This window comes from Homo sapiens, chromosome 12, assembly GCF_000001405.40.
Source record: "Homo sapiens chromosome 12, GRCh38.p14 Primary Assembly".
NCBI classification, from domain to species: Eukaryota; Metazoa; Chordata; class Mammalia; order Primates; family Hominidae; genus Homo; species Homo sapiens.
In genome coordinates, this window is record NC_000012.12 from 106679335 (window position 1) to 106702301 (window position 22967).

At 42.4% G+C, this 22967-nt stretch overlaps 1 protein-coding gene and 2 long non-coding RNA genes across 5 annotated transcripts in view; 1 reads left to right on the plus strand and 2 right to left on the minus strand.

Moving 5' to 3' along the window:
* Positions 1–22967, minus strand: part of LOC100287944 (uncharacterized) — a 278422-nt gene that overhangs the window by 182925 nt on the left and 72530 nt on the right. The gene's annotated exons all lie outside the window — the stretch shown is intronic.
* Positions 1–22967, plus strand: part of RFX4 (regulatory factor X4) — a 179800-nt gene that overhangs the window by 96331 nt on the left and 60502 nt on the right. For 2 of the 3 annotated variants that reach the window (NM_213594.3, NM_001206691.2), the window contains exons 5-8: positions 2659–2720; positions 7550–7763; positions 9953–10030; positions 16949–17112. In NM_213594.3, coding sequence (NP_998759.1) covers positions 2659–2720; positions 7550–7763; positions 9953–10030; positions 16949–17112 — 518 coding nt within the window. Of the gene's footprint in view, positions 1–2658; positions 2721–5394; positions 5575–7549; positions 7764–9952; positions 10031–16948; positions 17113–22967 lie in introns of those variants that run through there. The other variant, NM_032491.6, reaches the window with a different exon arrangement.
* LOC100505978 (uncharacterized) lies at positions 1424–5366 on the minus strand. Its single transcript, NR_038912.1, has 4 exons — positions 5326–5366; positions 4168–4410; positions 2657–2835; positions 1424–1823 (listed from the first exon to the last, which is right to left on the minus strand). It is a non-coding gene; the product is annotated as an uncharacterized LOC100505978 (long non-coding RNA).

Sequence of the window (22967 nt, forward strand, 5' to 3'; positions counted from 1 at the left end):
GTCCCAGCTACTTGGTAGGCTGAGGCAGGAGAATCACTTGAACCCAGGAGGTGGAGGTTGCAGTGAGCTGAGCCATGCCACTGCACTCCAGCCTGGGCAACAGAGTGGGGGCTCTGTCTCAGAAAAAAACAAAAAAAAAAACCAAAAACCACAATACTTTACTGTTGTGTCCATTTGTATCGGAGAAATTTTCCAGACCTAAACATAGGAAAATTTCTGCTTTTTCTAAGCAACTAGTATGCACTTATATTGATACTGGGACTCTTGGAACTCTATTGTATTATCTTCTTTGCTTGGGTGGTTAGGAAACTTAGAACCCACTTTTAACCAATGTGAAAAATCCCCTGGCTCAATTTTTATGCTTCCCTTGTTTTCTTTCTATCGCTATTAGCATGTCTATGTCTGTTCAGTAGTGTGCCTTTGTGAACAGCTGCTTCAAATCCTGGCTCTGAAGCCATTCATATGCTGAAAGTCTGAAGGGCTTGGCCACAGGTTAATATAAATCCAAGGTGATGAGGCCACTAAACCTGGATGCAGTCTTAGGCTGCACTGCTAGACAAAGTGTTTAAAGAGCACTGTTACTGACCCCATCTTGAATCACTGCCTTTTACTCAGGTCACCACAATTTGAGAAGGACATAAAGTGAAAAGCTTGGATCTTCAGTTTACAAGAGTCAGGGTTAAAGAGATGGGATTTATTGCCTACAAAGTGGTACCCTTAAAGAATTCAGAGAATTGTTGCATCATTTTGTTCAGTATTATCACCATGAGATGGTATTTTAAAAGCCTTTTTTACTTCCAAAAGTGGTTTCATGATGCTATCGTATTAGATTCTCTAAACATTCTTGTGAGGTGCATCTTTTTGTCAACGATTCTCTGATGCTGAAATGCTGCGGCATCCATTCTCCACACTGGAGGTGGTCAGCTCCCCAGTGTAGAGAAATGGTCAGTCTTCAAGGTTCTCAATTTCTCACTAATTTGTGCACTTCTGTCCATCCCATTGATACCATTTTAGTTGAGATCACCAACACCTAGCCCTCCAATTAGGGGAAGACTACACAACCCCTTAGTCCTCAAATGCCACAGGAGGAAATTCAGGCACAGAGAGGTTAAACAGTATGTCCCAGTTCAAACAGCTAACAAGGTCACAGTCCATATTTGTTGAGTGAATGAGTAAATCAATCAGTGAGAGTAGTGGTGTGGATAAAAGAGGGGTGAATAGATGAATAGAGATTCATCCCCATCCCTAGAGAAAGCACTCAAGGTTTATGCCCTACCAACAAGAAATCAGCAACAGCTTCTTTTCTCATGAAGGCTTACTCTCTCTGACCATGTATGCCTGCTCAGTGCTGTACCAGGAGGGAAGGGAGTCTTGGTTACACTCAAAAAATCCCTGGAAGTAAAAGGGTCATCAGGACAATCAGTGGTAATAATGGGTAACATTTATTAAGTACTTACTAACTGCCAGGCACTACTGCCAGCTATTTACATACATTCACTTTTTAAAATTTCACAATAACTCTAGAGGTTATTATCATTCCTATTTTACAAATGGGGAAACTGAGTCATGTGGATACTAAATAACTTGCCCAAGGGCATCCAGCCTAACCAATGCCTGAGCTTGCATTCAATTCAGGTAGTCGAGTTCCAGAGTTCTTGCACGTAACCCCTGACCTGTCATGCCTCTCCACAAACATCATCTCCGTAAACCCCAAGGAAAGGGGCCTCATGGTTATGTTTTCACCTTGAGAGATGCTCTCTCTTCACGGATTTCTTGTGAACTGGTGTGGTTGTCCTGGGCAACAGCAATTATCATCCTCTGCTCTGCAGACAGAAAAAAGATACCCCTAGGCTTTCATTCCTTCATTCAACAGATGTGGATTGGGGTCTTTGCATGTGCCAAACCCTGTATGAGGTCCTTGCTCTCATGGAGCGTGTGTTCAAGCAGGAGGAGACATAAACTAAGTACCCAGAGAGTAAGTGAACAAGATAACTTCAGATAGTGCTAAGTGATAAGAAGACAAAGCAGGGCCATGTGACCCTTGTGCTACTCCACACTGGCTGGTCTGAGAAGGCCTCTGGGCAGAAGGACATTGTCCAGACGCCTGAATGGTTAAAGAGGAGGCAGTCTTGTGAAGAGCTGAGTGAAATTCCACTCCTGGGTGCAGTACAAAGGCCCCCCATGGGGAGCAACGCTGGTGTGTTTCAGTAATAGAGAAAACAATAAAAAGCCAGTGTGGCTGGGATCTGGTGAGTAAAGGTGAGAATTATAAGAGAGGAAGGCCAGAAGGTAAGCAGGACGAGTTACAGAGGCTAAGTGTGGGTTTTAGTTCCAGGTGCTGTGGAAGCCACTGGAGGGTTTTAAACAGGGGAGAGGCAGGTTCTGGACCAACCAGAACTCTCCTTCCTTTGTGAGTAGGACGGGGTGAAGCATAGAGTGGCCAAGTGAGACCCCCTTAGTATCCAGAGCCCCACAACCATCCAAGCACTCCCCACTCTGACACCAGTAGTCTTCTCCAGGGTCCTCACAGACTCCTATTAAGTCATTGCAACCAAGGACCTATGTTTTCCTCCCTTCTGTAGATGGCTATTTGTAAAACTCAGTCACTATGCTCCCAACTCTTCCCAATGGGTAACTGATTCTTGTGTTGACTTACAGATCATAAGGCAGCAGTTTCCTCAGTTAACCACCAGAAGACTCGGGACCCGAGGACAGTCAAAGTAAGCACCGGACGGCCATTCCACCTGCAGAGCGCACATCTATGGGCCTCGAGACAGGCCACACCCTTGGCTCTTTATCCTGAGCTCTGTCTGCAGGCCTGGCAGAAGTCTGTGCCTAGAGGGAATATGGAAGAGCTTTATGACGGCCAGGGCCCCTCTCTCAGGACTCCTGAAAGAGAGGTTGTCCAAAAGCCCAAGACGAGTTGGCTCTGCTGCTTTAAGGAATCTGATTTTGTACCACCCTGCTTTTAGGCATATTTTGTAAAATAGTCTTGGGCATCATTGAAAGGATTGCCTTGTGGCCTCTTGGAGGATCACCAGGTTATCTGGACTGTTTTGCTGAGCAAACTCTGCTCTGATAGTATGCAGTAGACCAGAGAAGCAAAACTGTACTATTCCCTGCATGGGAGATGGGGCAGAAAGGTCCAGCTGCACCATGGTCCATGAGGGTTCACGGCTTCCCATTCATCAGTTTCATCAAGCAACCAACCAACTCATGCTTTATACTTTCTGTGTGTCACATATGTGGTGCTAGGTACTGGGAACACAGGAGCAAATCAGTTGCTGCCCTCATGGAGCATAGATTCCGGTGGGAAACAGACAAAACAGAGAATCAGATTGTGACAAAGTTGTAGCAGAGAGCAACAAAAGAGGAATGGCCAGGGAAGGTCTTTCAGAGGAGGTTACATTTAAGTAAAGACTAGGGGAGTGCAGAAGGCTGTGCAGACACTTGTCTGCTAGGTGTGAGTCAGTGGGAAGGGAATCTCTTCCTGTACTGCTCGACCTTCATTAAAATCTGCATTTATAGGACTTGCCTCTAAGGATGTTTCAAAAATTGTTGGACGATAATAGGTGTTCCATGAAGAAGAGCAGCAGGCCCTATAAGTTTGGTTAACACTAAGTTTAAACAGTTTCCTTTACTGCAAGACTTCTCAGAACCCTTATTATGCTAATGTACAAGGTGACTCCACTAGAGGGTGCCTTATTATGCAGCATTTCTAAGCATTTTGACCACGTTGAGCAGGTCAGCACATAGTGACCTATAAAACACTGTAACTTTTTAGAAAGGCAACCATATAGGACTTTTAAGACTTGTCTTGAAGGATGTGTCAAAAGCATGTCCAGTGCTCTCACCCTGGGCCAAACCCCTGTCCCTCACCAGCTCCTCTCATCCCTGGGCAGCACATTCCCATCCTCCAAGGGTGGGTTTGATTTTGGAGCCAAGGTAGGGAAAGAAAATGGATGATCGAACTGGGAAAAACCCTTTTTTGGTATTCTGAAAATAATGAGACTAATTTTTTTGGTGTAGCTCAGAAGCTTTTGAACCAGTCTCTAAAGGAATTTCCAGAAGACTGTTGAACAAAGGACCTCTTGGAATAAATTCCTAATAATTTTCCAAGATGACTATTCTGAAAAAAAAAAAAAAAAAAAAAAAAAAAAAACAAACCTCAGTTATAATTTTAAAATTCTGGTATTTGTTTAAAAGTAAGGTTTCAGCCTTGGTACGATTATAGATTACAAAAGCCAGGTTCTTCCTTGTTTGCTGGTAAACACATAGTAGGCAATTCAAAATGTTGGTCAAACAGAAGAGTGGATGGATAGAACGATATGGAATAAATGAAAATAAATTATTTTTCTCCAGCTCTTGGTCTTTGAGGAATCAGTGGCTCCGATAGCTTGTTGCTCATTTCTAAGAAGAGCAGAAATAGTAAAGACACACAGTAAAGAGAGAGCAGAAAGGTTTCCCATCCTGCATAAACAGAGAAAATTTCCTTCTGTCCACATGGGAGAGTCTGTTTTTGTTTTGTTTGTTTTTCTTTTTCTTTAACCTCGAGGTTGGCAAAATACCCTCTTTAAAAATTCTGTATAATCAATTTTATTGTATCCTCTTCCATAAGGATACTCCAAAGTTGGTCACACCTTCGACCAGTTGAAAGGCAGTAAGAAGCTCTTGTCTCCAACCTGCATCATGGCCTTATAGAGAAACTCCCTTGGCAAATTGACAATGACAGAAGAAATCTGGGGGGGTGGGCCAGGTGCAGTGGCTCACGCCTGTAATCCCAGCACTTTGGGAGGCTGAGGCCCGTAGATCACTTGAGGTCAGGAGTTCAAGATCAGCCTGGCCAACATGGTGAAACCCCATCTCTACAAAAAATACAAAAATTAGCCGGGCATGGTGGCACGTCCCTTTAGTCCCAGCTACTCAGGAGGCTGAGGCAGGAGAATTGCTTGAAGCTGAAAGGCAGAGGTTTCAGTGAGCCACGATTGCACCACTGCACTCCAGCCAGGGTGACAGAGCGAGACCTGTCTCAAAAAAAAGCACATTCTGCACATGTATCCCCTGCCTTTTTTTAGAAGAAATTAAAAAATAAATAAATAAATCTGGGGGTGGCTGGTGAGGAATGTGTTGTTGTGCCCTACAGAACTGAAATAGAAGAACTCAAGATCAGAGCAGTAGCTTCACTGTGGTTGTTGATTTTAGCTACGTGATCTCTGAATAGTCAAGAAGTGGTCTGGTCTGAACATATTAGATGATCTGGCTCTTAAGAAGTTATAAAGGTGAACTTTTTAAGGTTACGGTGGTGTGTCATAACTGTCATCCCACCTGAAGCCACCGGAACCATGCTCCTCCCCCACCCACAGAGTGAGTTCCAGGTGGGAAGGCAGTTATGACAGTTGAGAAGTAGTAGAAGACACGGAAGGCACAGAAGGCAGACTTCGCTCAGCACAAAGAATTTTCTGATAACCATACTGGCAAAATGAACTGGGCTGCCTTCGGAGGGTCTGAATTCTTCATCCCAGAAGGCATTCAGATAGATTCGAGATGCCCACTAAGCAGAAATATCACGGAATGGTATCAGGAGTAAAGGAGGGTTGGGGAGAGGGAAGGTTTTGACGTGCTCATCTCTTCCCTCCTCGCAAAAGCCCTTCCCATAATTCAAAATGCCTTCTCATCTGTATGATTTTGTGACTTTCATTGTATCTCCATGGGTAGAGAAAAGTAGTTAATATGTTGTGCGGTGTTTCTGAAAGCGAGGTCCACGGATGACCTAACATTTGTATTGCCACGGGACTGTGAAAATCGACTCTAGACGTACTAAATAGGAGTCTTTAAGGGGGGAGCAGGGCCCAGGAGTCTCTATTTTAATGGTTTTTTTTCTTCTTCTTCTTTTAGTCCTAGCTACTAGACTACCAGGGATATTTTAATATGTTTTGTAAGTGATTCTTAGTAGTAGTAAGGTTTGAGAATCACTGGCTTAGTGGTTCAAAGCACTTGGGAGGTTCAAATCCTGCCTCTGCTCCTTACTCACTGGCTGATCTTGGGTGCATGACTTAAATTCTCTGGGCCTTAGTTTCCTTATCTATAAAAATGGGGATAATAATTAATTCTAGCTTTATGGGGATTTTGTGAGATTAAATAAGATAATGTGTGTCAAGCACTCAGTACCAGAGATCTCAAACTGATGTGCTTTAGAATTACCCCTATGGTGCTTGATTCAGTGCTGATTCCTGGGCCCCATTCCCAGATGTTCTAAATCAGTAGGTACTGAGAGAGGGCCCAGGAGTCTGTATTTTTATTAAACTTTAAAAATGATTCTGATAAGATCAAAGTTTATAAGACTATCTTGCAGTGTTTTCAGTAGGATAGCACTGTGGCTTCATAGTCAAAAAGACCTGTCTGTGTTCAAGAACCTGTTCCTCCCCTAAACAGCTATATGACCTTAAACAAATTATTTGAGCTTTCTTGCCTCCAGTTTCTCATGTGTAGAAAGACTGTAATAATTTCCATTATTGGTTATTTTACAAATTAATGCATGCAAAGTCCTTTGCAAACTGCCTGGCATGTAGCCAATATATAATGCTCAATAGATTATAGCTAAAATCTAAACAAAATGCAGCCTCCAATCCCTTGTTAGTCTTAATTGAAAACATTGCTAATATTAAGCCTATTTTGAGTTAATAAAAAGTTCTGGTCTTCGCTTTACATTCAGTGTCAACTGAAGCACTGAATTTACCTTTTTAAAAATACAGTTCTTTGAGACTACCATTTATTGATTAAGAAAAACATAGGCCAAGGCCAGGCGCGGTGGCTCATGCCTGTAATCCCAGCACTTTGGGAGGCCAAGGTGGGCAGATCATGAGGTCAGGAGTTTGAGACCAACCTGACCAACATGATGGAACACCATCTCTACTAAAAATACAAATGTTAGCTGGGTGTGGTGGCACATGCCTGTAATCCCAGCTACTTAGGAGGCTGAGGCAGGAGAATCGCTTGAACCCGGGAGGCGTGGAGGTTCAGTAAGCTGAGATTGCACCACTGCACTCCAGCCTAGGTGACAGAGCGAGACTCTGTCTCAAAAAAAAAAAAAAAGAAAAAGAAAGAAAAAAGAAAAGGAAAACACAGGCCAAATGAATTTTTATTAGAGGTGCAGTTAGTAGTCACAAACATATCCTGCTTGGGTCCCCACAGAGAAGGGACCCTCAAGTGCTGGTATCCCATTTGGCTAGACATGAGAGATCAAGTACTAATGGAAAATTTTTCATCCCCTCTCTGCTTTGCAAAGTATTTGACTTAACGTTTTCTGTAGGAGGCAATTTTGGTTATTTTTACCTGCCTGATTGATGGCTGGCACTTTGGTTTAATTCTATATTTCAGTGATATTAGCCTTACAGGAGAGTTAACTCTTCTATCCCCAGGTAGGATGGCCCCAGCTTTCCTTGGCCTTGGGCAACACTCCCTACTCAGGAAACCTCACTTAATAACAGTGCATGTGGGTCTCTCTCTTTTTTTTTTTTTCTCTCTCTCCCTCCCTCCCCTTGTGGCCCAGGTACCATTACTATGGCATTGCAGTGAAAGAAAGCTCCCAATATTATGATGTGATGTATTCCAAGAAAGGAGCTGCCTGGGTGAGTGAGACGGGCAAGAAAGAAGTGAGCAAACAGACAGTGGCATATTCACCCCGGTCCAAACTCGGAACACTGCTGCCAGAATTTCCCAATGTCAAAGATCTAAATCTGCCAGCCAGCCTGCCTGAGGAGAAGGTAACTACAACTGAAGTGACTATTTGGGGTGGGTGGTTTCTCTCTCTTTCTCTCTCTCTCTCTGTCTCTATCTCTCTCTCTCTCTCACACACACACACACACACACACACACACACACACACACACACATTTATTGCAAAACCGTGAGTTTAAAAATATAAAGATAGAAATCCAGGCCAGGAGAGGTGGCTCATGCCTGTAATTTCAGCACTTGGGAGGCTGAGGTGGGTGAATCACTTGAGGTCAGGAGTTCAAGACCAGCCTGACCAACATGGTGAAACCCTGTCTCTACTAAAAATACAAAAAATTAGCCAGGTGTGGAGGTGGGCACCTGTAATTCCAGCTGGAGGCTGAGGCGGGAGAATTGCTTGAACCTGGGAGGCAGAGGTTGCAGTGAGCCAAGATTGCACCATTGCACTGCAGCCTGGGCAACAAGAGCGAAACTCCATCTCAAAAAAAAAAAAAAAAGAAAAGAAATCAAAATAAAGCATGGACTATAGTTAATAACAATTTATCACTATGAGTTTATTAGTTGTGACAAATATATCCTAGTAATGCAAGATGTTAACAATTGGGGTGAGGCATATGGGAACTCCCAGTACTATCTTTACAACTTTTCTGTAAATCCAAAACTATTCTAAAATAAAATTTGCTCTGTCAATCTCTATCATGTATGCCTATCTGTCTATCTACCTATCATCTATCTTCTGTCTTTCTACCTACCTACCTGTCCTATGATCTTATGCTGTCTCATTTCATGAGGAAAGAACCTCTCCCCTCTGAATTGCTTTTCCACAGGATAAAGTCCATTTTCCCATGTGCTGCAGGGGATTTGGTGAAATAATAGTCTAACAGTCAAAGAAGATTTTATAGGTATAGTGAATCTGATAGTTTTGATCATAGAATATTTGGAGCAAGTTACTGGAAAAATAAATTTGGGGAAGTTTCCCTTGGGGTATCACATTTCTTTTTTTTTTTTTTTTTTTTTTTGAGATGGAGTCTTGCTCTGTCATCCAGCCTAGAGTGCAGTGGCGCAATCTCAGCTCACTGCAACCTCCGCCTCCCAGGTTCAAGCAATTCTCCTGCCTCAGCCTCCCAAGTAGCTGTGATTACAGGCGCCCGCCATCACACCCAGCTAATTTTTGTATTTTTAGTAGAGACGGGGTTTCACCATGTTGGCCAGGCTGGTCTCGAACTTCTGACCTCATGATCTGCCCACCTCGGCCTCCCAAAGTGCTGGGATTACAGGTGTGAGCCACCGGGCCCAGTCGAGTATCACATCTTTAATGCACCTATTGATGCAACCCAGTGCTGCTCTAACATGTATTGAGCTTCTACTAAGTCTCCATGTCACACTAGGATCTGGGATGCAGTGAAGAATGAGATGAGTCCTGCTTTCAGAAAGCTTAGAGTCAACCAGGGAGATAGTGCTTGTATAAGTCAAACTAAGTTTATATAAAATGCATGTCTATGTTCTAAAATGAGGAAAATGAACTTGTATCTGTAAAGGATACATTAAATCTAAGAAATAGATAAATATTTTTTCTTAAATTTGCTTTTTTGGTCAATAAACATACAAATGAACTTCCTGCACCATGGATTTAAAATTCTCAGGTAATTGAAAAAAACATAAAAATAAAAAAATTATTGGATAAATGGAGGGGGAGATTAATTTTTTTTTTTATTTTTGCTAAGCACATTGCAGAGAATTTCCAAATGTCTTATGGTGACTTAGGCAGAATCACTTCTTCATATAACTATACATTGGATTTTAACTTTCTAGTGGTCTCAGCCAATGAAGAGAATTTAGTTCCATAACCCTGCTTAGCTCTATGTGCCAGGCACTGTGCTAAGTGCTGGATACATGAGCATGAATAAGATACCATTTTTGTTTTCCTAGAGCTCACAGTCTCAGGGGGTGGAAAATGGGGGCAGGAGGAGAAACCAGCGCATTCCGTATCTCAGGGAGAAACACACTCGTGCTGTGTGAGCACAGAGGAGGGAGCCAAGGGTCAGAGAATACCACCTAATGAAAATCAGTCTCACCTGGGTCTGGTAGGCTGAGCCGGTGTTAGGTGAATTGCATCCCCCCCACAGGGAAGAAATGACTTAAAAACTGAAAGTCCAAGGGCAGCAGCAATGTGTATTAATGTATGTCTTTGTTGTTGATCCTCTACACACCCCCACAGGTTTCTACCTTTATTATGATGTACAGAACACACTGTCAGAGAATACTGGACACTGTAATAAGAGCCAACTTTGATGAGGTAGGTCAACAAGGGTTGAGCTGTGAATACTCGGTATTAAAAATCTTGTAACACTAGCTCCTATTTCATGAGCTCCTGCTAGGTGCCAGGCCTGGCATCTGGAAGCCCTTCCTGGATACCCATTAGCTCACTTCATCCTCATGAGATCCCATGAAGCAGGTACGATTATTATCCCCATTTTATAGACCATACATGTGTATAGCAGTGGGCTTGGCCTCCTCCTTTGACTGAACTGGTGAACTGCCTCCTGCCCTATCAGCACACTAGGAAGACCATTTTGCCAGGATATCATTAAACCCAGGATTATAGATTCAGAGAAGCTAAAGAAAAGCTTCCTTACATTTTGGAAAAAATATATAAAAAGCTTTATTCTATTTTGTATATTTAGGCTTTTCCTGAGGCTTGTCCACTTGGGTACATTTGGAGCTGGTTACCCTCCATTCCCAAGGTCTGATCCATAGATTTCCATCAAATCCCATTAGTAGGGCCATCGTTAAATACAAACAATGTAAGAAGTCCATTTTATTTTAAAATATTGTAGTTAAAGAATGGAGAGGAGGAAATGAGAAAGGATGGGAGAACAATAACCAATAATAAAGTTATATAACTTTATTATTTTTTGAGGGAAGACAATGTGGTCTCTAAAAGGACTATAAAAAACCCAGTAGCTATTGATGGAAGACATCCCAGAAATTCCTTTGGTGTGTGTGTTGTGGGAAGGGGGTGCTGTTGTAGGTGGAGGGATATAAAAACGATGTCAGGTACAAAATGCTCTTCTCCTGTACTTTTCTGCCTTCCCACGGCTGTGTCCTTTAGGAGTAAATGTTTGTTGAGCACTTCCACTATCACTTTGCTCACAGACACAGCTCCAGACAAGATGGGAGTGTGTTGGTAAAGAAGTACTGTTCTTCCTTCTCTTGACTTTTATCCACTAGACTTCTAAAATGTACTTTAAAATGTCCCAAATTACTTGAGCAATAATTTCAGTGATTTTTTTCTTTTAAGAAAGAAAACTCCCTGCTTTCTTTCGAACTGCGGTTTGGCTCTATCTTACATTCCAAAGATCACTGAGATCAGGACAAATAATGATTCGTGACTGGCTAAGACAATACTAGCTGCTGTAACAAATAACTCTGCAAATCTTAGCACACTGGAGGTTTATTTCCCACCCATGTCACAATCCAGTGCGTTTGTTCTTGGTTGGAAGGCTGGTTGCTGGGGGGTGATTCAGGGACTCAGGCTCCTTCCACCCTGCCCTAGAACCTTGGAGTCCTCTTTGTTCAGCTGATGGGTGGGGAAAAGAACTACTAGGAAGGCATACCCCCTACTTATCCTTGTCAGCCCAGAAATAAAATAGCACTTCTGCCCATATTCCATGGACGGGAGCTGGTCCCACGGCCCCACCTTAATGCAGCGGGGGCTGGGGAGTGTGGTCCCTCACTGGGCAGCAGCTTACACTACTCAAATCTCTAAGGGACAGCTGTTCCTCTCTGCCACAGTTACCAACAACAAAACTAGTGGCAGTCCCCCCTTATGTTCATATGTAGCTTAGTCATCTCAAAACTCACTCTCATTTCATTTCATTTGCTTAATTCCAACACCTATTGGGTCCCATACACTATTGGAGAGATAAGTAAAACACAGTTGATAGGATGGGGGGAAGGCATGTAACCAGCAACTAGGATGCAGAATATATGGTGAGAGGTCCAGAAACATTGAGGGGCAGATGCTGCTATGGAAAGAGTGCCAGGCTTCAAGTCCCAGGCTTGGATTCAAGAGCTGGCTCTGCCTTTCAAGCCTCAATTCCTCATCCTAGAAATGAAGATTTAAAAAAATCATCCCCATCTATTTAATTCATAGTGTTACTAGAAGGAGGAGATAAGACTGCCTGGTAAAAGCTCTTTGTAAACTGTAAAAGGTCATACAAATGCTTGTTCTTTTCAGATGTATCAACCAGAGTGTTCAGAGATTTGGCCAAGGTCACACAGTTGGTTAGGGCCAAAGGTGTGACAAGGTCCTTCGTCACCTCACACCCTTAGGCCAATTCCACCCCACTGGCAGGAATATTTGGTGGCTGCTTTTAAGATAGCTAATTCTTCTCAGCCACAGAATAATGAAGGGAGACATTTTACCTCTGATGAGGATGGCTTTCTCCTATAGCTGAGAAAAGTCATTGGTAAATGGATGGTGGATGTATCTGGTACACCTTGACTTTACAGTTGGTTTCAAGTCTTCCAAGTCTTTAATATCAGTTGAGGTTACAACTTATGCTAGTATCACAGTCCTAAATTATCTTGTTTGTTCACTTGTTCATTGTTTGTCTCTACCACTATAATGTAAGCTTTTGAGGGCAGGAAGCTCATCTGTCTTGTTCACTACTATATCCTATCTAGCCATACTTTTAGGCTGTCAGTCAGTATTTGTTGGGTGAATGAGTGGATGAATGGATGAACAGGTGTAGAAATGCCATTGACTTATAACATTGTCAAGCAATTAAAGAATGCAAATCTGAGGCCGGGCGCAGTGGCTCACGCCTGTAATCCCAGCACTTTGGGAGGCCGAGGTGGGCAGATCATGAGGTCAAGAGATCAAGATCATCCTGGTCAGCATGATGAAACCTCATCTCTACTAAAAATACAAAAATTAGCTGGACGTGGTGGCGCGTGCCTGTAGTCCCAGCTACTCAGGAGGCCGAGGCAGGAGAATCGCTTGAACCCAGGAGGCGGAGGTTGCAGTGAGCCAAGATTGCGTCACTGCACTCCAGCCTGGTGACAGAGTGAGACTCCATCTCAAAAAAAAAAAAAAAAATGCAAATCTGCATGTAGGGGACTCGGGAACGTCTTCTCCAGACTACATTGCACAATAAGCTGTAAAGTTCAGTAGTCTTGTGATTGAGTCTCAAATCTGCCACTGACTAGCCTGTGACCTTGAGCAAGGCACTTAACCTCTCTGAGCCTGGATTTGTTTTGCTACAAGATGAAAATAATAATTATACCTATCTCATAGTGAACATGAAATTGTGTATGTAAAGTGTCTGATTTTGTTCTAGAATATGATGTTAGGCATTTTTGTAATTATTTTATTGAGAGCCTTCCAAGCCTGGTACACTTAGGGACCCCAATTGCAAGTCATCACAGGTGTTTCCACAAGGTGCCAATGTTCAGAATGAACTAAATATGAACATGGAAAAAGAAATAGAAAATTTGCTTGGTATTCCTAAGGAAATCATCTCCTAGTACTTCACTGAGCTGAGAGACAAAGGGCCGAGAGTTCAGAAGATTGAAACAGATACCTCAGGAAACTTAATTTTACTAATAATTTGGAATCATTTGCCTCTGATTCTTTCACTGTTTATGCTTGTAAGGTGTAAGAACTTATCAGAACTCTCCTTTCTGCCTAATAATGTTTCCATTTGTTAAATGCCTACACGATGCCAAGCATTTTACATAAGCTATCTTATTTCACCCTAATAGTAGGAAGACATCATTATCTTCATTTTACAAATGCTGGTAACTCTGAGAGTTATATGTTTAGTCCTGAGCTCCAGATTCAATTGACTTGAAATTTAACTTAACACGGCCAAACCAGAGCTCTTAATTTTCTGCCCCAAATCTGTTTTTCCCAGGTCTTAGATTGCCACTCCCCTCCACCCAATTGCTTAAGCCACAAACTTTGATTCTCTCCTTTCCCTCACCCTTCAGATCCAGTCCACTGGGAGATCCTGTCAGCTCCACCTTCTGCAGGGAAACACTGCATCTGTCCATTTCATGCCTAACTTCCAAGCCTTAGTGCTTGAGCTAAGGCCATTCTCCCTCCTTCCTTTTCCTTCTCACCTGGAGGAACAAGTATCATTGGACAATAAATGACCTAAAATGCAGAGTAGAAAGGGATGTTAAAACTGGAGAATACATCTTCTACAAAAGCCACTCAGCAAACTGAGGATGGATCAGCCTTCCCAGTGCAGCTTGAACAGGCTTCAAACAGACAGATGCCTGCTGAGGAGACTGATTTTGCACAGATTTGTTTAAATCCACACAACAGCTGATCTTTTCTAGACATTCTGCTAGAAATTGACTGCTCATATAAAAAAGGGGGTACGGCTGCCTGCAAGAAGAGCTAAGTAAGGCAAATGAATTCAAAATGTGTCAACTCAAGAATCAGCTGGGCAGAGCTTCTTACTCAGAGTTAGAGGAGCAGACAAGAAGGCCCAGGACCTGACCTGAGCCTGATGCCCAGGGAATGAGCTGGGATCAGGGGACAGTGGAGGGTCCTCTGGAGGGCAAGTACCTTGTCCAAAAGCCGTGGACATCTCCAGGCTCAGGCCACGCTAATAGTCAGCCACCGGGTGTCTCAGTGACAGAACAAAAGTCTTGATAGGTGAGCGGAGCCACAGTAGGGATCCTGGCTGGGTGACATTCAGAAACATAGGCAAGAAAGTCTCAAACACCTAGGGCAGGACACTGATCTCTTGAGCCCAGTAGTGGTAGTGCCTCCATGATATAATAGTAGTAATAACAGCTAACCTTTATTAAACATCTATGATGTGCCAAGCACTAGAAGCACTTTTTAGAAATCTTCACCAAAACCTATGCAGTAAATACTGCTTTTATCCCCATTTCACAGAAGGGGAACGGAGGCTTAGAGATATGATACTCCTCAGTAGTGGAGCCAGGATTAGAACCCTGCAAGTCAGTCTTCACTCCTCCAGATTTTGTTTTCATTTTCAATCTGGATGAAAACTTTGCAGTATTTCCACTGTCAGGGAATAAACAGGACTCTAACTGAAGTCTTTTCGATTTACAGACCTGACTTCATTCACCACTACGATCATGTTTTCGGCAATCACCACTTCTCTCCTAGGAAGTCAGAGGGGCATGCCTTTATCCCTGTTCCTTATCCTCCAAGCCTTCCATCCTGTACTTCCACAGGGAAGTCCAGGCAGGCTGTAGGCATCAGGGAAGCCTATTCACAGGAGGCTGAGATGGAGTCACCAGGCTAGAGTCGGGGCATGGCTCTACTAGCCAGAGGCAGCCTTTTCAGAGCAAAATTAGGCCCTACTCCTTGGAGGGGCCTGAAGGATGCTGCAGGTTACCAGGGCAGGGGCAGAAAGCTGGGAAGTAGGCAGCAGTCTAGGGAGAGACATGGGCCTCAGCAATGGGGTAGAAACCCAGTTACCATGTGAAGAACAAATGCCACAAGAGAGACTGTGGAAGGACTAAGGCAGACATAGGCTCTATCTCAGCCATACCCTGACTGGCTGTCTGGCTTTGGACAACTAATATCTCTGCAAATAAGAGTAATGATTCTCAGCTATAGTATTATGAGTATTACATGAAAGAACCTAAGCAAAGTACCTGGCATATAGTAGGTACTCGATAAAGAAAGCTAATGGCGGCCAGGCGGTGGCTCACTGTAATCCCAGGACTTTGGGAGGCCGAGGCGTGCAGATCACCTGAGGTCAGGTACTCGAGACCAGCCTGGTCAACATGGCGAAACCCCGTCTCTACTTAAAAAATACAAATATTCGCCAGGTGTGGTGGCACACACCTAGAATCCCAGCTACTCAGGAAGCTGAGACAGGAGAATCGCTTGAACCCAGGAGGCGGAGGTTGCAGTGAGCCGAGACCACACCACTGCACTCCAGCCTGGGTGACAGAGCAAGACTCCATCTCCCCAGAAAAGAAAGCTAATGGCAATAATACTTGCCCCAAAATGTTAGACTAGAGGGACTCAATTATCTCCCACACCAAATCAGGATTGATTTGGGGAAACAGGGATGTGGATAATGCTACATGTGGAACTCAAGAGTGCCCATCTGTTGGGGAGAGAAGGAAACATGATCCAGAAACCAAGTCAAACCCATTGGAATGTATAAAAATTCAGTTATGTGTTCCCCAGCTTCGAGATGGGCTGCTCCCCAACTGAAGATGTGCTGCAGATGTTAGCTGATAGCTGAAGTCTAGATTTTCTCAAATGTTATTATATACATCAGTTACTATCTTCTACTATTTCTCTTCACTTCCCTTACCTTTCCCACCACTTCACCCCCTATTCTACTCAACTTCTAATCCACAGCTAAAAGACAGAGGTGTAGGGGAGGCGGCAAGGGGTTCTCTGCTTTGGACATTCACTCTGCCCTTCGTTCAGTAACAATGTGGCTCAAGTTCCTGCTATCATCATATTAATAGTAATAATTGCATTTCTGGGTGCCTGCTATAATCTGGTTCTTTGCTAGTGGTTTGGGGAGTTTTAAAAAGTCAGTCACACACACTTCATGTGCCCACATAGCTTACCACTCAGGTATCACCATCTAGCATCCCATATAGCACCCACTGGCCAGGGAGCTTTGGGAAATGGAAGAATTCTGATATGAAAAGACTTTTGCACTTGACCCAATCTTTGACGCACAAATTTGAATCAGAATTTTGTGTGTGTGGCACCTACTCTCCTTTCAGCCACACTCCTTTTACCCGCGACTCCCATACCTTTCCCTTCCTTCCCAGAATACCCAGGGGCCCCTGAGGTTCAGTGGGCTCAAAGAATAGTGAGTACTAGTGCTCCGACCTTTTTAAAAACAATGCCCCACCTTCCTTTCCTTAAACTCTTCCCAGACCTCAGTAAGCACTGAAGGCGCTGAGGGGTGAAAGTGCTTCATCTTTTGGGGCAGAGGAGACCCCAGCCTGCCAGGCTAGTCAGTTCCCCAGCAGTGTGCATGTTGCATGCCTAGGCAGAGGGAAGACTTGAAGCAGGAGAAACTCCCAGGGCCTCCTACAACATGGCAGGCTGGGGGTGACTTCTGCTGCCGCAGGGGAAGTAGATGACAGCATTGTAGACTGGGTTGGCCTTGGTGGAGTCCCAAGCTTCTGTTGGGAGGGCCCTGGGTAACCTCATGATTCTTCTCTCTGTGGGTCAATACAGGTTCAAAGTTTCCTTCTGCACTTTTGGCAAGGAATGCCGCCCCACATGCTGCCTGTGCTGGGCTCCTCCACGGTGGTGAACATTGTCGGCGTGTGTGACTCCATCCTCTACAAAGCTATCTCCGGGGTGCTGATGCCCACTGTGCTGCAGGCATTACCTGACAGGTGGGCATGCTTATTCTTGTCTTCCTTCACGGCTGGTCCACAGAAGGGATTGTTCTGCTTCTCTTGTACTGATTATAATCATGCACTGTCCAGAGGCCTCCCTTGTAAAGACCATTAATATTGAACTTTTAAATATTAAAGTTTATTTATATTTTGGAATATAAATAAACTGTTAATATTTTGAACCATTTGTGTGGCTTAAAATTCAAAGGTATAAGATGGTGTACAGTAAACAATCTCCCCACCAGACTCCTGTTCCCCAGACAACCCAGTCCCTTCCCAGAACATCAAATAGAATCATTTTCTTGGAGTCTGTCCAGATCTGATATGCACATGTAATCAATGCATATAATATACTGTTTTTCTTACTGAAATGGTGACATACACTATACCCTGTTCTGTGCCTTGCTGTAAAACAAAACAACTTAACCTTGAAGTTTATGCTGGACAGCTTCCATGCCCCTCCAGATGTACTCTCCACCACACTTCATGCTGCCTTCTGCTGGGGCCAGAGGTGGGGCATATGCTGATAGCATGGGCCACCACACAGGGCGCTTCTCAGGGAGGGATGGAGGGAGGAGAGTGAAGTCAGGAGATGGATTATCTGGCCCCCTTCCTGTGAGATTGTGTTGAGCTGGCTGGGTTCCTTCACTGGGCTGTGTTCCCTTCCAAGCAACTTTCCAGGCTGTCCTTGGGCACAGAGTGGGCGAGAACCTGTGCTCCGAGCCTTAGGTTGCAGCAGTCTCCCTCATAGTTCCTCTACTCCGTCCACACCTTTGTGACATGTCCCTTGTAAATAAACCCACCCATTTAGAGTGGCACTCCTTCCTGTTGGGACTGTTACAAAGCACATTGCACATCCATGTATAAGGTATAAGGAGCTTTTTTCTTTTTTACAACTGTATAGGGTTCCACCATCTTGCATTTAGTCAATTCTCTTGATATGTCCAGTTTTGTCCTACTCCAAACAACACTGTGATGAATGACATTTCATTTACCTTTTTTTTTTTTTTAACATGGTGAAGTGCATTAGTTTCCTGTAACTACTGTAACAAATTACCACAAACTGGCGGGGTGACTTAAAACAACAGAAAAGTTATTCTCCCACACTTCTGGAGGCCAGAAGTCCCAAATCAAGCATTGGCAGGGTTGGTTCCTTACTGAGGCTCTAAGGGAGAGTATGTGCCATGCCTGTCTTCTGGCTCCCGGTGTTGCCAGCAATCCTTGGTGTTTCTTGGCTTGCAGACGCATCACTCTAATCTCTGCCTCCACCTTCACAGTGCTTCCTGCTCTGTGTGTGTGTGATTTTCAATCTGTATACCTTTTCCCCACCCCTGTCTTATTGCACTGGCTAAAATCTTTAGGATGATGTCCTAGCCTAGGCAAGGGTGGACATCTTTGCATTTACCCTGACCTTAAGGGGAAAGCATTCAGTATTTACTATAAAATACAATGCTAGCTATAGGTTTTTAATATCTGGTTGAATGTGTGTGTGTTCGTGTGTGTTTATAATTATTATAATTATTATTATTATTTTTTTTTTGAGACGGAGTTTTGCTCTTGTTGCCCAGGCTGGAGTGCAATGGCGCAGTCTTGGCTCACTACAACCTCTGCCTCCCGGGTTCAAGTGATTCTCCTGCCTCAGCCTCCCAAGTAGCTGAGATTACAGGTGTGCACCACCATGCCTGGCTAATTTTTTGTATTTTTAGTAGAGACGGGGTTTCACCATGTTGGCCAGGCTGGTCTTGAACTCCTGACCTCAGGCGATCCAACCGCCTCAGCCTCCCTTTGTGCTGGGATTACAGACGTGAGCCCCCTACACCTGGCCAATTAATTTTTTTTTAAGATGAGGTCTTGTTCTGTTGCCTGGGCTGGAGTGCAGTGGTGCAATCATTGATCACTGCTCACTGCAGCCTCAAACTCCTGGGTTCAAGTGATCCTCCTGCCCCAGCCTGCGGAGTAGCTAGAACTATAGGCATGCCCCACAGGACCTGGCTAATTTAAAAAAAAAATTTGTAGAGATAGGGTCTCACTATACAGCCTAGTCTGGTGGTCATAAATTTTTAAAAAATATGTTGCTAGATCTGAATTGTTAATATTTTGTTCAGAGGGTTTTATAGTTCATCAAAGTTATTTGATCAATAACGAAAGTTACTCATCTTTAGTTTTCTTGTCTCATAATGTCTTTCTCTTATTTAGATATCAGAGGAAACCTGGCCTCATAAATGCATTGAAAAGTGTTCCCTCTCTTCTTTTTTTTTTTAATTCATAATATTTTCTTATTATCCTTTTAATATCTGTAGGCTCTGTAGTGATGTGTCCTTTCTCATTCCCGATGTAGGTAATTTGTGTTTTCTTTCCTTTTTCTTGGTCAGTGTGACTAGAAATTTTTCAGTGTTATTGATCTCAAAAAATAGCTTTTGGTTTCTCTGGTTTCTTGCTTTCTGTTTTCAATTTTATTGACTTTTGCTTTTTATCTTTATTCCTCCCTTTTTGTGCTTGCTTTGGGTTTATTTTGCTCTTCTTTTTTTAGTTTCTTTAAGTGAAAGCTTAGGTCATTGATTATAAATCTTTCTACTTTCCTAATAAAAGCATTTAATGCTATAAATTTTATTCTAATCTCTACTTAGCTGCACCCACAGATTTTGATATGTTGGATTTTCATTTTAATTCCATTCAAAATATTTTCTACTTTCTCTTGTGAATTCCTCTTTGATCTATGGGGTATTTAGAAGTAAACTGTTTAATTTCTAAATATTTGGGGATTTTCAAGATATCTTTCTATTAATAATTTCTAGTTTAATTCCCTTCTGGTCATATTATATACATAGTAATATATCAATTCTTTTAAGTTGATACTTGTTTCATGCTCCAGAATGTGGCCTATTGGTGAATGTTCTATGTGTACCTGAAAAAGCTATATATTCTGGTATCATTAGGTTAATTATTCTATAAATGTCAACTAGGTCAAGTTAATTGATAGTATTGTTTAAATTTTCTTTGTCTTTACTGATTTTCTGTCCATTTGTTCTATTGATTAGCAATAGAGAAGTATAGACACCTCCAGCTCTAATTGTGAATTTGTCTATTTCTATACATTTTTGCTTCATGTATTTTGAAGCTCTGATGTTAAATGCATACAAATTAGAACTGTTATGTCTTATTGGTGAATTGACTTCTTTTCATAATGTCTTTTTTTATCTTTCATAATATTTCTTGTTCAGAAGTTTACTTTGTCTGTTTGTAATATAGCTACTCCAGGTTTTTTTTAAATTAGTGTTTGCATTACATTTTTTTCCACCCTGTTAATTTGTCTTTATATTTGAAGTAGATTTCTTGTAACCAACATAGAAACATAGAGGGAGGTCTTTCTTTTTTATTGTCTGGCAATTTTCCTTTTTAGTTGGTATGGTATGTGTAGATCTTTATATTTCATGTAATTAAATATATGGTTCAATTAAGATCTTCCCTCTTCCTAGTTGTTTTCTATTAGTTTCATCAGTTTTTGCTCCTTTATTCCTCTTGTTGTGCCTAATTTTGTTTAATTATTTTTATCATCCCATTTATCTCCATGGTTGGCTTTCTTTTTCCCCCTCTGAGACAGGGTCTTACTCTGTCACCCAGGCTCCAGCTGGAGTACAGTGGCACAAACACAGCTCACTGCAGACTCAACATCCTGGGCTCAAGCAGTCCTCCCACCTCGGTCTCCTGAGTAGCTGAAATTACAGGCATGTGCCACTAAGCCTGGCTAATTTTTTTACTTTTATGTAGAGATGGGGTCTTGCCATGTTTCCTAGGCTGGCTTGAACTCCTGGGCTCAAGGAATCCTCCTGCCTCAGTCTCCCAACGCGTTGGGATTACAGGTGTGAGCCACCATGCCTGGCCATGATTGTCTTTTTAAAAATACCTCTTAAAAAAAATTTACTAGTTGTTTTAAGTTTGTATATCTTCTTTTTCTTTTTTTTTTTTTTTTTTTTTGAGACGGAGTCTCGCTCTGTCGCCCAGGCTGGAGTGCAGTGGCGCGATCTCGGCTCACTGCAAGCTCCGCCTCCCGGGTTCACGCCATTCTCCTGCCTCAGCCTCCCGAGTAGCTGGGACTACAGGCGCCAGCTACCACGCCCGGCTAATTTTTTGTATTTTTAGTAGAGACGGGGTTTCACCTTGTTAGCCAGGATGGTCTCGATCTCCTGACCTCGTGATCCGCCCGCCTCGGCCTCCCAAAGTGCTGGGATTACAGGCGTGAGCCACCGCGCCCGGCCAAGTTTGTATATCTTCAATTATAATATACCTTCAAATAATGTTATACTGCTTCACATGTAGTGTAAGAATCTTAACAACAGTATACTCCCTATTTGTCCTCCCATTTTTATGCTATTGTTGTCATACATTTTGTTTTTGTATATGCTATAAACTCCTAAAACATTATAACTATTTTTGCTTTAGATAACTATCTTTGAGAATGATTAAAGATATGAAAAAATATTTTATATCTGCTTTCATTCACATGATTCCTAATCTTCATTTCTTTGTGTATATCCAACTCATCGGTGTAATATATGAGTTGGATATGTAATCATAGTCCTCTGCCTGCAAAATTTTCTTTAATGTTTCTCATATTGCAGGTCTAGTGGTAACAAATTATTTGTTTCTGAAGAGGTCTTTATTTCTCTTTGATTTTGAGAAATACTTTCACTGGGTATGGTATTCTGAATTAACACGTTTTTCACTTTTGGCATTTTAAACATTTCACTCCATTGTTTTTGGCTTGCATGTTTGTCTTTTGTACATCTTTGCTCCTCTGTAGGCAGTGTGCCTTTTTTCCTTGGATGCCTCCACAGTTTTCTCTGTCTTTGGTTTTTCAGTCTCTATCTTTGGTTTTCAGCTGTTCGACCATGATGTGTCTCAATGCTTTGTGTTGTTTTCAATCCTACTTGGGGTTTTCTGAGCTTCTCGGATCTGTGCTTTGATGTATTTCATTATTTTTGGAAAATACCCATTCATTATCTTCTTCTCTGCTTTCTCTCTTTTTTCTCCTCCTGATATTTCAATTACAAGTATGTTAGGCCATTTGATACTGTCCCACAACTCCCGGATGCTTGATTTTGCTTTTTCTCTACTCATTTTTCTCCTTGTGTTTTAGATGGAGTAATTTTTACTGACCTATCTTCAGGTTCACTGAGTCTTTCCTTTGCTATGCCAATGCTACTAATGAGACTATTGAAAGCATTTTTTATCTCCATCACTGTACTTTGTTTTTATGTCAATTTCTAATATTACATTCTTTTAAAAGTAATTTCTGCATTCTGGCTGGGTGCCGTATGGCTCACACCTGTAATCCCAGTGCTTTGGGAGATGAAGGCAGAAGGATCACTTGAGGACAGCCCAGACAACATAGCAAGATCCTGTCTCTACAAAAAAAAATTAGCTGGGTATAGTGGCTTGTGCCTATAGTCTAGCCACTCAAGATGCTGAGGCGGGAAAATTAATTGAGCCCAGAAATTTGAGGTTACAATGAATCATGATCCAGGCCGGATGACAGAGCAAGACCCTGTCTCTAATAATAATTATTATCACATTTATTATTAATATATTAATTTTATAGTAGTAATTATTTATGTGTTCTTCTGAAATTCCACCTCTGTTCATGCTTGTTTACTTTTTCCATTAGAGCTTTTAACATAGTAATCATAGTTACTTTAAATTTTAAATTTCCTGTCTGATAGTCTGGTTATGTTGATTGTTTTGTTTCTTGACAGTAGGTTCTTTTTCTTAATTTTCTGTTTATCTCATAATTTTTATTGGCTGCCAAACAGTGTGTAGAAGAGTAGAGACTGGGGTAAATAATACTTATGCCT